The sequence below is a fragment of the Homo sapiens genome, chromosome 1 (genome assembly GCF_000001405.40).
Source record: "Homo sapiens chromosome 1, GRCh38.p14 Primary Assembly".
NCBI classification, from domain to species: Eukaryota; Metazoa; Chordata; class Mammalia; order Primates; family Hominidae; genus Homo; species Homo sapiens.
The window spans coordinates 203953607-203967973 of record NC_000001.11 but is presented as its reverse complement, the minus strand read 5'-3'; the positions used below and the strand labels follow the sequence as shown (position 1 = coordinate 203967973).

Below are 14367 nucleotides of genomic sequence, written 5' to 3'. Positions count from 1 at the left end.
GAATTTTGTGGCTGGGCGTAGTGGCTCACGCCTGTAATCCCAGCACTTTGGGAGGCTGAGGCGGGCAGATCATGAGGTCAGGAGTTCAAGACCAGCCTAGCAAACATGGTGAAACCCCATCTCTACTAAAAATATAAAAATTAGCCGGTGTGGTGGCACGTGCCTGTAATCCCAGCTACTTGGGAGGCTGAGGCAGGAGAATCGCTTGAACCCAGGAGGTGGAGGTTGCAGTGAGCCGAGACTGCGCCACTGCACTCCAGCCTGGCAACAGAGCGAGACTCCATCTCTAAGAAAAAAAAAAGAAAAGAAAAAATCTTGTGGCTGGGTGAAGTGGCTCACACCTGCAATCCCAGCACTTTGGGAGGCTGAGGTGGGCAGATCACCTGATGTCAGGAGTTTGAGACCAGCCTGGTTAACATGGTAAAACCCCGTTTCTACTAAAAATAGAAAAACTGAGCCAAGCGTGGTGGCATGCGCCTGTAATCCCAGCTACTCAGGAGGCTGAGGCAGGAGAATCACTTGAACCCGGGACGAAGAGGTTGCAGTGAGCCAAGATCATGCCATTGCACTCCAGCTTGGGCAACAAGAGTGAAACTCCACCTCAAAAAAAAAAAAAGAATCTTGTATGGTAAAATCTTGTCCTAAAGTAAAATAACTGGTTGTTTAAAAAGAAAGATGTTGGCTGGGCAAGGTGGCTCATGCCTGTAATCCCAGCAGTTTGGGAGGCTGAGACGGGTGGATCATGAGGTCAAGAGATTGAGACCATCCTGGCTAACATGGTGAAACCTCGTCTCTATTAAAAATACAAAAACAAAATTAGCCAGGCATGGTGGTGGGCACCTGTAGTCCTAGCTACTCGGAATGCTGAGGTGGGAATATGGCATGAACCCAGGAGGTGGAGCTTGCAGTGAGCTGAGATCGCGCCACTGCACTCCAGCCTGGGCGACAGAGCAAGACTCCATTTAAAAAAAAAAAAAAAAGGATTTTTAGGACAAGTCAGAAAGTCCAAGCATGTTGTAGATAGTCTGTGTAAGTTGTGAAAGGAAATTTATACACCAAAAGTAAAAGTTGCTAAGAATTACCATTATAACATGTAATTGAAATTAATAAAAAAATAACTGTACGTGTAAGGTGTGTGAGGAGAGTGAAATGTGTTTTTGGTAAAAGACTATAAGAAGGCATGGTAATGTAAATTTTTTTTTTTTTTTTGAGACAGAGTCTTGCTCCATCATCCAGGCTGGAGTGCAGCAGCATGATCTCGGCTCACTGCAACCTCTGTCTCCTGGGTTCAAGCAATTCCCCTGCCTCAGGCTCCCGAGTAGCTGGGACTATAGGCACGTGCCACCACACTCAGCTAATTTTTTGTATTTTTAGTAGAGACAGTGTTTTACCATGTCGGCCAGGCTGGTCTCAAAGTCCTGAATTCAGGCAATCTGGCCACCTCAGCCTCCCAAAGTGCTAGGATTACAGGCGTGAGCCACCACGTCTGGCCCAGGAATGTAAATTTTTGCCTAGTTTAGAGGGTTAAAGGATTTTTAAATTAGGTAAGATAAAGCTAAAAGTTTGAGTAAGTTGTGGAAGGTTTGTAAAAATTAATCTTGTAAAAAAAATTCTGTGTGTGAAAATGTTGACTAAATTTAAAGGGGTATTGTTCAGTTTTTCTGTAAATTGACATCAAAATAAAAGCACAACTGGCTTTTCTTAAAGCACTGATCTCCTCTTTCACAAAAATTGTAAAGGGCTACAAAAGATTTATAAGAATCTCACCTCATCGTCAAACTGGTTAAGCACAAGGTGTTTTAAACCTTTAACATATTTGATAGCCTTCCCAAAATTAAATTTCAGCTTCAAAATTGCCTTTTCTGACTTCTAACTTTGGGATGCAACAGAAGGCCCCTGAAACATCCAAAAGAGAGGTAACAGGACTATTTGACATTTTAAGTTACATAGGAAGCACTGTCAAAATAAAAAATAATGTTTAACCTTCTTCAGGTTATATTTTAGTGAATTACATTAATTTATGTTCCAAAATCGTATGGGATTTATAAAATTCTAATATGTCTGAATATATGCTATCAATCATAATTATGGTTATGATGTTAAGTTATTGTAGACCACAGAAATAACAAAATTTCATTGTCTATTGTGCCTTTAACTATAACTACTTAAATTTATTTTCACAGTTTATTGCTTAATGCTGATGCAGTTTCTGAAAACTTCACAAGCATGCAAAATCCTAGAATATGGTGTGTTTTAGGAGATTCATGAAGGGATGGAAAGGACCCTAAAAAGCACTCTTGAATCCAGGTTTCTAGTAACTTTAGAATTATATCATTTGAACTGGGTAAGAATTCCTGGAACTGACTGAAAAGACTGACTGGTTTATAAAACTGCTAACCCAAGTAGAACAGAAATTAACTGAATACCTAGAAAATACTTTGCCAAATTTTAGTGTTAAATAAGCTGACAATGAAATTGTTTAGATGTACAATTTGAATAAAATCCATGGTCTAAGTCAAATTACCTATGATAACCCATCAGTTAGTGCTTAGCACCTAATTTGGAGAAATAACTGGTATTCTGCATTCCATGACTCATCATGCAAAAGATAAAATAATCCAAATTAAATATACTGGTGTGGTAATTTATAAATTGCTAAAATCATTTATAACTAATGTTTGGTTTGTCAAACCCAAATTCCTGGGAAAACAATCAAGGTTCATGTATATTTGGTTACCGGATGGGCCATTTATACATTTTATAAAGGGATTTCATTCAATTATCTTTTTTGTTTGTATTGTATTTTTTTAGTAGAGACGGGGTTTCCCCGTGTTAGCCAGGATGGTCTCGATCTCCTGACCTCATGATCCGCCCGCCTCGGCCTCCCAAAGTGCTGGGATTACAGGCGTGAGCCACTGCACCCAGCCCATTCAATTATCATTTTTAATACATGTTTTCTAGTTGTATAAATGCTCTCCCATGCAAGAGGGCTGATGTTATAACAGTAGATTATTATGCTACAGTGTATTTTCACCAGGTTAAAAAAAGCTTTTTTTGGTTCACTGAGGACAATCAGCCCCTTCACAATCTAGAACCCGAAGATTGGCTCTTCTGAGAGCATCAGAGAAGGACTGTCCTTGCCATCCACACTGCAATGAAACTTGGGGATCCTGAACCTTGGGTTCATAATCTCACAACTGAGAAGGATCCCTCCACACTCTTGGAACTGTACACTCATTGGAACCCTTAAGGTAAAGCTAACCAAGGAAGTGTCTCCCCAGAAGAAAATGGCATCTTTGATGTGAACAGTTCTTCCTAAGATCATGGATCAAGACTTCTACTGTCATGAGACTCTTATCTTTGAATATTTTTTTCCTTGTTTATGCCTCTATGAACAACAGAAATGAAAAAGGGGTCTGTTGCATGCACTTACGGTGTATACTTTTATTTGTGAAGGATTTTGCAGCCAGCCGTACACATGGATAAACTTATACTTTGATAGATAAAAGATGAAGGCCCAATATCGGTGAGAAACTTTAATGGTACATACCTTGCCTCATAATCAGTCAGAAATAGAACATTGATTTACTCCTCTTATCCCACATCATGGGTTAAAGAGAAATTGCCAGGAGGCACTCTTCTAGAAGTGCATCAATTGTTAGGCCCTTTTTCCATGGTTTGGAATAAAAGAGGCAATGGTTAGAAATGTGTCCCTCATGATAGGCTCTCTAGCAGATTCTATTGTAAAGGCTACAGTTACACAACAGACTTTAAATTCTCTTGTGAAAGTTATGTTAAATTATAGAATTGGCTAAACAGAAAAGTAGATGTGCAGCTGCTGGCACCTGTGGCCTATGGAGAAATACATCAAATGTAGATTATATAAATTCAGTTTTAAAGGATTCATGAAAAGACCACTTAGTTAAGCGAGTAGACTCATCATCAAATAGATCATTCTTTGATCTATTTGATTTTAAGAAGTTTGGTTTATGGGGACCTTGGGTGAGGAGCATACTTCAAACTCTTGGTATTATCCTCCCAATAGTCATAATAATAGTCTCCTTGGTGCACTGTGTTCTCTCAAAGAGGCTGGTTTTAGGCCTAATACGTATTCTATCCTGAAGTATGTCTCATGTGCTCTTGACACAACATGCATGCTGCTTTTGTTCAGTGAAATGTTCCATAGATGTCTGTTGAGTCTACTTGGTTTATAGTGCTGTTCTCCTATTTTCTTACTGATCTTCTGCTTTGTTGTACTATCTATTATTGAAAATGGGATATTGAAGTCTCCAACTATTATTTTGAATTGTCTATATCTTGATTCAATTATGTCAATTTTTGCTTTGTGTATTTCGAGGCTCAATTGTTAAGTGTATATATGTTTATAATTGACATGTGTTTCTGATTAATTGACACTTATCACTCTAAAATGTCCTTCTTTGTCTTCAGTAACAATTTTTTGTCTTGAAATCTATTTTGTCTGATATTAGCATAGCCACTCCAGCTATCTTTTAGTTACTGTTGCATGGTATATCTTTTTCTCTCCTTTTACTTTTAAACTCTGTGTGTTTTTCAATCTAAAGTATGTCTCTTATAAAAGAAATAACAGCAAAAAAAGGATAACTAAAGTATGTCTTTTGTAGACCGTATATAGTTGGATCACATCTTCCTTTATCCCTTCCACCAATATCTTCCTCTTCAGTGAAATTTTTTTTTTTTTTTTTTTTTGAGATGGAGTGTTGTTCTTGTTGCCCAGGCTGGAGTGCAATGGTGCAATTTCAGCTCACTGCAACCTCTGCCTCCCAGGTTCAGGTGATTCTCCTGCCTCAGATTCCCAAGTAGCTGGGATTACAGGAATGTGCCACCACACCCAGCTAGTTTTGTATTTTTAGTAGAGACGTGGTGTCACCATGTTGGCCAGGCTGGTTTCGAACCCCTGACCTCAGCTGATCCACTCACCTCAGCTTCCCAAAGTTCTGGGATTACAGGTGTGAACCACTGTGCCCGGCCTTCATTGGAATATTTAGTCAGTTTACATTCAGTGTAATTACTGACGAGGTAGAATATGTCTGCCATTTTGCCTAAAGGGAACTTTAGTATTTCTTATAGGGCAGATATTTGGCGATGAAATCTCTCAGTTTTTCTTTAACTGAAAATATCTTAATTTCTCCTTTATTTTTGCAGGATAGTTTTGCTGAATATAGAACTCTTGATTGACAGTCTTTCTTTTAGCAATGAATATGTTATCCCAGGACTTTCTGGCTTTCAGGGTTTCTTTTTTCTTTTTTCTGAGATGGAGTTTCACTTATTGTCCTGGCTGGAGTGCAATGGCGCAATCTCAGCTCACTGCAACCTCCGCCTCCCAGGTTCAAGCGATTCTCCTGCCTCAGTCTCCCGAGTAGCTAGGATTACAGGCATGTGCCACCACACCCCGCTAATTTTGTATTTTTAGTAAAGATGGGGTTTCTCCATGTTGGTCAGGCTGGTCTCAAACTCCCGACCTCAGGTGATCCACCTGCCTTGGCCTCCCAAAGTTCTGGGATTAAAGGTGTGAGCCACTGTGCCCGGCCTTGGCTTCCAGGGCTTCTGATGAGAAATCAGCTGTTAATTTTACTTAAGAACTCTTGTATGTAATGAGTTGCTTTTCTCTTGCTGTTTTCAAGACTCTCTTCGTCTTTTGGTAATTTCAGTTTGTTTGTTTGTTTGTTTGTTTGTTTAAATAAAGATAGGGTTTTGCTCTGTTGCTCAGGCTGGAGTACAGTGGCACTATCATAACTCACTCTAGTCTGGAATTGATCCTTATGCCTAAGCCTCCCAAGTAGCTAGCACTACTGGCATATGTCACCATACTCAGCTAATTTATTTATATTTTTATTTTTTGTAGAGTTGGGGGTCTTGCTATGTTGACCAGGCTGGTTTCAAACTACTGGCCTCAAGTGATCCTTTTGCCTTGCTCTCCCAATGTGCTGAGATTATAGGTGTGAGACAACATTCTCAGTCTCTTTTAAAAGTTTTTATATGACATGTCAAGGTGTGGATCCCTTTGAGTTTATCCTACTGGGAGTTTATTTTCTTGGATGTGCTGACTTTTGTTTGTTGTTGTTTTGTTTCTTTCAAATTTGAAAGGGTTTTGGCCATTATTCGTTTGAATATTCTTTCTGACCATTTTTTCTGTCTTTCCTTCTGAGACTTCCATTATGTGTATGTTGACACACTTTATGGTTTTCCATATATCTCTGAGGCCCTTGTTTTTTTCTTTTTCCTTCAGTTCCTCAGAATGAGTAATCTCCTCAATTATTCTGTTTTCAAGTTCTCAGATCCTTTGTTTGGCTTATTTTTGTTTGTTTGTTTGTTTGTTTTAGAGCAATAGAGTCTTGCTAAGGGGCCCAGGCTGGACTGAAACTCCTTGGCTCAAGTGATCCTCCTGCTAAAGCCTACCAGGTAGTTTGGACTAGAGGTGTGTGCCACTGTGCCTGGCTAAGTTCTTGGATTCTTTCATATTCTGCTGAAATCTGCTGTTAAGTCTATCCAGTGATTTTTCATTTCAGTTATTTTACTTTTCAACTTCAGAACTTCTATTTGTTCCTTTTTTAATTAATTAATTTTTTAAAAGTTGACATATATATTTATTGTGTATAAAATGTTTTGAAATATGTATACACTGTGGAATGGCTAAATTGAGAGCTCATTCACATAGGCATTACCTCACATACTGATTTTTTTTTGTGGTAAGTACACTTATAGCATATTCTCAGCAATTTTCAAGAATACAGTGCATTGTTATTAACCTCAGTCACCATGTTGTATAATAGATCTCTGGAGCAGGGTTTGTTATTGTTGCTAGTTGTTGCTATTATTTTGTTTAGTGACTTTCCTGGACTAATTCTGTAAAGTCTGTATTCTTTGTAATGTAAAGTCTCTGTTCAATTAGCTTAATGGCCAGTTAATGATTGAACACAGATTTCCTAAACTATCTTGAATAAATAAGTCTTCCAAATTTTGTTGATTCACTCGGTATTGGGGTATAGTTTCGATTCTCTCTCAAGCAGTTTACATCTCTCTTTAGCCTTCATTTCTTGCTTAGGAAAAGCCTTAAGGTTGGCCAGAGGTAAGACATTGGGGTCTTCTCAGGTCTTTTCTGGGCATGCACACATCATGTGCATGGCCTTATAGATTCCTAGGACTGTATCAGAGCTTTCCAAATCTCCCAATGGACATCTTATTCTTCAGTTTTTTTTTCCTTTTAAGTTTTTCATCAGCATCTTTTTATCCCCAACTGTTAACAACACCTCTGGCAGCTTTGATGTTAAACAACTGCCAATGATTGTTTTCAATAAATGTCACATGGATAGGACTATGCAGAGAGACTGAGCTGTGACCAATATTTAGACCAATAAAGACAAGCTCTGAGAATGGAACTTTTCATTGAGCTGCCAGACAAGTCAAATAATGACAGTCCTCTGGGATTGAGGCTTTCCTGGAGCTCCAAGTCCATTCTTCCCCCTCCAGTAGATGCTAGTCTGCTGCTTTTCATAGCTATTGTAATAGTGTGGCTATTGGTTTTTAATGCTACTTTGAAGAGGAGTTAGAATTAGGAAAAGCTTAAAAACCAAATCTCATAGTTCTTACCAAGATTCAGTCATTTTTCTTGACTAAACACTGCTCACATTGCTGCAAACTTCTGTTTAATTTCTAGAGTCTAAAAAATTAAAAAAATTAATTCTGATGGGTTTTGAAGATCTTATTGCTTTTATAGAGTAGCAAATTTTTGGAAGTCCTTAGTCTACCATTCTGAAAGTTGGAAAGATCTCCAGCTTTCATTTGTTTTTTGTTACTATGTTGTATTATTTTATATTCTTCTACTTTTATTCTATTTGTGCCTTTATTTTATTTTTTCAAGTTTTCACACAGGGTTGATTGTGTCTTTATTTTAAAATGAGTTTCCTTCTTCCCTGTTGATGTTATTAAAATAAATGAATAAATAAATAGAGTTTCTTGAAAGTAGACAGTATGTAATTGGATCATCCTTTTTAATCCAATTTGATAAACTCTGCTTTTTAATCAGGATGTTTAGAGGATTTAATTTGACTTATTTATTTATTTTATTATTATTATTATTTTTTCAAGATGGAGTTTTGCTCTTGTTGCCCAGACTGGAGTGCAATAGTGTGATCTCGGCTCACTGCAACCTCCGCCTCCTGGCTTCAAGCGATTCTCCTGCCTCAGTCCTGAGTAGCTGGGATTACAGGCATGCACCACCACGCCTGGCTAATTTTGTATTTTTAGCAGAGACAGTGTTTCTCCATGTTGGTCAGGCTGGCCTTGAACTCCCAACCTCAGGTGATCCACCTGCCTCGGCCTCCCAAAGTGCTGGGATTACAGGCGTGAGCCACCACACCCAGCTGACTTAATTTTGTTTTTTAGAAGATTTAATTTGAAAGTGTTTATTAATATTGTAAAATGTAAAGCTACTCGCTCTATTTTCTTTCCATTTGTTCTATCTATTCTTTGTTCTCTCTCTGTCTCTCTTTTTTTTGTCTTCTTTTAGATTGTTTTTTATGCTTCCATTTTATCCTTTTCATTGCCTTATAAGCTATACTACTTTGAGTTTTCTCCTTGTTTTTTTGTTTTGTTTTTAGTGGCTGCTTTATGGTCTTTAGTATACACCTTCTACTTACCATTGTCTACTCTGAAGTAAAATTATACTATTTCACAAATAGTATAAGAACACATGGCAGTGTACTTTTCTATTTCTCCTCTCTTGGCTTTTGCCCTATTGCTGTCATATAATGTCTGTACATGTTATAAGATCCACATTTCAGTTTGTTATTTTTAATTTCATACTCAGTTACCTTTTTTTTTTTTGGATACTGAGTCTTGCTCTGTCACCCAGGCTAGAGTACAGTTGCACCATCTTGGCTCACTGCAACTTCCTCCTGGATTCAAGTGATTCTCCTGCCTCAGCCTCTCTTGTAGCTATGATTACAGGCATGCACCACCATACCCAGCTAATTTTTGTATTTTTAGTAGAGACAGGGTTTCACCATGTTGGCCAGGCTGGCTGGTCTCGAACTCCTGACCGCATGATTTGCCCTCGGCATCCCAAAGTGCTGGGATTACAGGCGTGAGCCACCATGCCTGGCCCCACCTTTTTTAAAAATTGTAAAAATAAGTTTTAAAATTATTTTATATTTGCCCACATATTTACCATTTCCAGTGCTCTTCATGTTTTGGGGGTAGATTCAGATTTTTCTTTTTTTTTTTTGAGACAGAGTCTTGCACTCTTACCCAGGCTGGAGTGCAGTGGTGTGATCTCAGCTCACCGCAACCTCCACCTCCCGGGTTCAGGCAATTCCCCTGCCTCAGCCTCCCCAGTAGCTGGGATTACAGGTGTGCACCACCATGCCCAGCTAATTGTTGTATTTTTAGTAGAGATGGGGTTTCACCATGTTGGCCAGCTCGGATTCGAACTTGTGAATCCACCCGCCTTAGCCTCCCAAAGTGCTGGGATTACAGGCATGAGCCACCACACCCAGCCAGATTCAGATTTTTGTCCCACAATATATTGCTTCTACCTGGTGACTTTTTTCAAATTCTTTTTTTTTTTTTTTTTTTTTTTTTTTTTTTTGAGACAGGGTCTCACTCTGTCACCCAGGCTGGAGTGCAGTGATGTGATCATGGCTCACTCCAGCCTTGACCTTCCTGGGCTCGGATGATCCTCCTACCTCAGCCTCCAAAGTAGCTGGAACTACACGTGTGCAACACCATGCCTTGCCTGGATAATTTTTGTATTTTATGTAGAGACGAGGTTTCACCATGTTGCCCAGGCTGGTCTTGAATTCCAGGGCCCAAGCGACCCACCCACCTCAGCCTCCCAAAACTCTGAGATTACAGGTGGGAGCCACCATGCCTGGGCTCTTTCACATTCTTTTTTTTTTCTTTTAATAAACCTATAGTTTTATTAAGACAAAAACTGACAGCGTGGTATGAAGTTTACATTTAAAAAAAGTTTTCACAGAAATCTAACACATGCCTAAAAAGATTTTACAATGTAGTTCTAGATGCAAGTCTAGGCAATATCAAGAACTGATGGATCTCATGACTCAAGACAGAGCATTTTAGGTATCAGTTACTTCTTAGGATTTCTTAAAAAATGGTTTTGTTGGCCGGGCGCAGTGGCTCACGCCTGTAATCCCAGCACTTTGGGAGGCCGAGGCGGGCGGATCACGAGGTCAGGAGATCGAGACCATCCTGGCTAACACGGTGAAACCCCATCTCTACTAAAAATACAAAAAATTAGCCGGGCGTGGTAGCGGGCGCCTGTAGTCCCAGCTACTTGGGAGGCTGAGGCAGGAGAATGGCGTGAACCCCGGAGGCGGAGCTTGCAGTGAGCCAAGATTGTGCCACTGCACTCCAGCCTGGGCGACAGAGCGAGACTCCGTCTTAAAAAAAAAAAAAAAAAAAAAAAAAAAAATGGTTTTGTTGGCTGGGTGCGGTGGCTCACGCCTGTAATCCCAGCACTTTGGGAGGCTGAAGCGGGCAGGTCACGAGGTCAAGAGATCGAGACCATCCTGGCCAACAATGGTGAAACCTCATCTCTACTAAAAACACAAAAATTAGCCAGGCGTGGTGGCGGGCACCTGTAGTCCCAGCTACTCAGGAGGCTGAGGCAGGAGAATTGCTTGAACCCAGGAGGCAGAGGTTGCAGTGAGCCAAGATCATGCCACTGCACTCCAGCCTGGCAACAGAGCAAGACTCCATCTAAAACAAAACAAAAAAAAAGGTTTTATTTGTTTTTTTGTGTTTTAAAGTGAACCACTGCCCAGTAGGAAAGTTAAATCTCCTGAGACCAAGGCTTTTGAAATCACTCAACTCGAATCAATTCAGTGGAACTTGTGCTGTCAGTGACTGAACGCTGCCGCCAACGGTTTCAGAGTTCAAAGATCCAAAAAGAGAACTGCTCCAAGAGTTCTCCCCACTAAGAGTATGGGCTCTTGTCTTTCCCTACTGTCTTATCTCCTCTACCACCCTCTTCCCCTTCCCCAATACCTCAGCCAGTGGCTTCAACAAGCTGATATTTATAACTTCATTATTGGAAAGAAAAGGGTCTTCTGTCTAATTTCAGGAATTAACCCCTCTGAGACAGAATGATCTGCTCATACTATATACTCTCCAATAAAAGACCTTCCCTCCTCAGTCAATTTCCATCTCTAAAATGGCAACTTTGGTAACTTATCAACTAGCTTATCCTTTGTGGGGAACAGCATTAGGTTTAGGCAGGGAACACCTTGGCTTATATAGGTTTCAGACATTCATGGCTTTTTTTTTCATTTTAAAAACTTTATTTAAATAGAGACTATTAGTCAAATGATTGGAAAATCAATAATGAAAAATAATTCTTCAGGGTCTTCTGGTGAGGCGGAGGAACACACCAAACTGCACTGGCCCTGTCAGGGGACAGGACACCCTCATGGGGTCAGGCTCAGCCCTTCGGGTGGCATGAGGTCCTGCAGGCTGCGGGTCACGCTCCAGCCCCCTGCCTGGTGACCCGCCCTGGGCCTAGGCATTCACAGCTTTTAATTATAGTCCTTATTTATGATGCTAATGACATTTCTTTCAAAGGTAAAATATTCTAGACATAGAAGGAAATCATTAGTTGTCTGTTCTTTCCATTGCTTCACCATTTCCCCTATCAAGCCCCAAATTTTAATCAAAATGATGCTACCCATCTCCCTTCCTCCTCTCTCCATCCCTCCCTCCCCAAATAATACACCAGTAATAGCCAAAAACTACACACATGCTATGCTGTAAAAATGCAGTTGACACTATTGGGAGGTAGGCTGTGTGTTGTGGAGATGCTCTTTGAAGATCTACAGTATTTTTGTTTGCTCTCCCACACACCCAACTCTGCAAGTTTTGTCCTTCATAGAAGGCCCTTTGCTTTTCTCAGCAAAATGAAGAAAAGGTTGCCTTGAAACACTTATCCCCCTTCCCCTCCACTGGGATGGGTGTGCAAATTCTAGAGCTTGGAATGGCTTTAAAGCACTTGGGCTGCTGCAGGGCACAGAAACTATACTGGCTCTTCAAAGGACATCTTCTCAAGCCACCTCTATGCTGTCAAGACAAGTAGAACTCCTTCCCTTCCCACTGGAAACCCACATTCAGATGTGACAGGGGCTGGTACTCAGGAGAGTCAATTCTTGTCATCTTTTTTCTCATCCTCCTTCTTGGGGTAGGAATGCCTTTCCTCATAGAAAGATATGACAACCTGTGGGCACTTGATGCTGGCTTCCTTGCCAGGAAACAGGTCAGCCTCATCAGAGTTTTTCCATGTCATCGGGATCATGAGCTCTCCACTGGAGTATGTAGCTCCAATAATCTGCTCTGGCGCCAAACCCCCAGCAAAGCCTCATGGCTTTTCTGACTCTTCTTTCTTCTTCTTTGGTTTGCCCTCCTCTCCCTATGAAGCAGGAGATGTAAAAAAAAAAAAAAAAAAAAAAAAAAGAGAGAGAGAGAGAAGAAAACAAGTTTTCTGTACAGGCTGACTCACTCCAAGGCCCAGCAATAAGCAAGGCTCTGTGAGGGCTCTCATAGTGCTATCAGCAGAGCCGGGGCCCAGAAGGAATGGGCTCCAGGAGCAGGGATGAGAAAAACAAGTTCTTATCAGTTTCCCCTTTTTAAAATTATCTCCCCATACCATTATTCTTTGTTCTGCTCTCCTAACTATCTTTGTAACTATTTCTGCAAGTTGGTAAGGATTTTGTAAGTTCCTGTTTTCCCATCTGTGCAGTATGGTAAAGGTCACAAGACGTGCCTGAGTTGCAACACCTGTCTCTGTTTGATAAACTGCCTTTGTTCTGCTTCTGTAAGCTTGCTTGCCACCCTGCAGGTTTTGCACCACTAGCTGGCCAACCCCTTTTGGTTGCATGTATAAAAGTCAAGCCCTGTCTTTGTTTGGGGCTCAACCTTTGGAGGTTAATCTGCTGAGCCGGAGCACCTACATAAATCCTCCTGAGCCACCCATTGGTCTCTCCTGTCCCTTTAATTCCCGCAACACCTTATCTTCAAATCATCAGCTTTGCGCTTGCCTCCCTCTGATTTATCTGTCTCATGTGTTGTTTTCTATGACTGCAGAAACTCAGCAATGAGGTCAGGGCAATCCAGGTTCTCTTCTGGTTCCCATGTGTGGTCCTCATTGAGAACCCCTTCCACTTTAGGAGCTACTCCACTTTGCCCTTTACCCCTCCACAGTCAAGAACTTTTTCCACCACATATTTCTCTTCCTCCACTTCTAGAGCCTCCTCCACTTTCTTCTTGTTTTGTTTTTTCCTCATAGTGCCTGCTAGCTTTCTGGTGTAAAGGGTGACACTACTCAGAGCAGTGCCCAAGAGTCCAAGAGGAATCAGTGCCATGCTACTGGCCCATTGCATTGGGTCGGCAGAGGGAGTGGCACCCAGGAAAGCAGCAAGCTGGGTGGCCACAGTGGAGCCCCTCCCTGAAGTGGCCTACTGCAGGTCCTGGCCAAGGGCCCTCCCGTCAGCCGAACAAAACAACCTCGCACTCTGCACTGCCCGCCTCCTGCCCTCTTTCAACATTCTTATTGTTCAAGTGTGCTGGTTAAATTCTTCCAGCTTTTGCATGCTGAAAAACTTGTGTCCTATGTTTTTGAAAATTTTTCTCTGGGAATAGAATTCTAGATTGACAATTGTCTTCTAGTACTTTAAGTATATTGCTTCACTGTCTTCTAGGCTTGCATTACTTGCAGCAAAAATCTTTTGCTATTTTTTACATTCTGTACATAAGATCTCTTTTTTCCTTTGGCTGATTTTAAGTTTAAAATTTTTCTTCTTATAAGTAGTTCTAAGCAATTTGAATATGGCATACTGGCATGCTAGTTTTGTTGATGTTAGTTGAGCTTGGGGTTCATTGATCTTCTTAGATCCATTGATTTATACTTTTCATCAACTTAGAATTTTTTTTTTTTTGAGACAGAGTCTCATTCTGTCACCCAGGTTGGAGTGCAGTGGTGTGATCTCAGCTCACTGCAGCCTCCACCTCCCAGGTTCAAGCAATTCTCCTTTCTCAGCTGCCCACATAGCTGGGACTACAGGTGCATGCCACCATGCCTGGCTAATTTTTTGTATTTTTAGTAGAGACAGGGTTTTGCCATGTTGGCCAGGCTAGTCTCAAACTCTTGGCCTCAAATGATCTGCCTGCCTCAGCTTTCCAAAGTGCTGGGATTACAGGCATGAGCCACCATTCCTGGCCTATTTAGAAAATTTTTATCTATTAGTCTTTCAAATATTTTTTCTGCCTATCCCTCACTTTTTCTGGGACTCCAATTATGTGCATGTTAGGCCAGTTGAA

The 14367-nt window shown here is 40.8% G+C and overlaps 1 pseudogene; it reads right to left on the bottom strand.

The window, feature by feature from the left end:
* On the bottom strand, positions 9945–13576 carry CBX1P3 (chromobox 1 pseudogene 3; annotated as a pseudogene).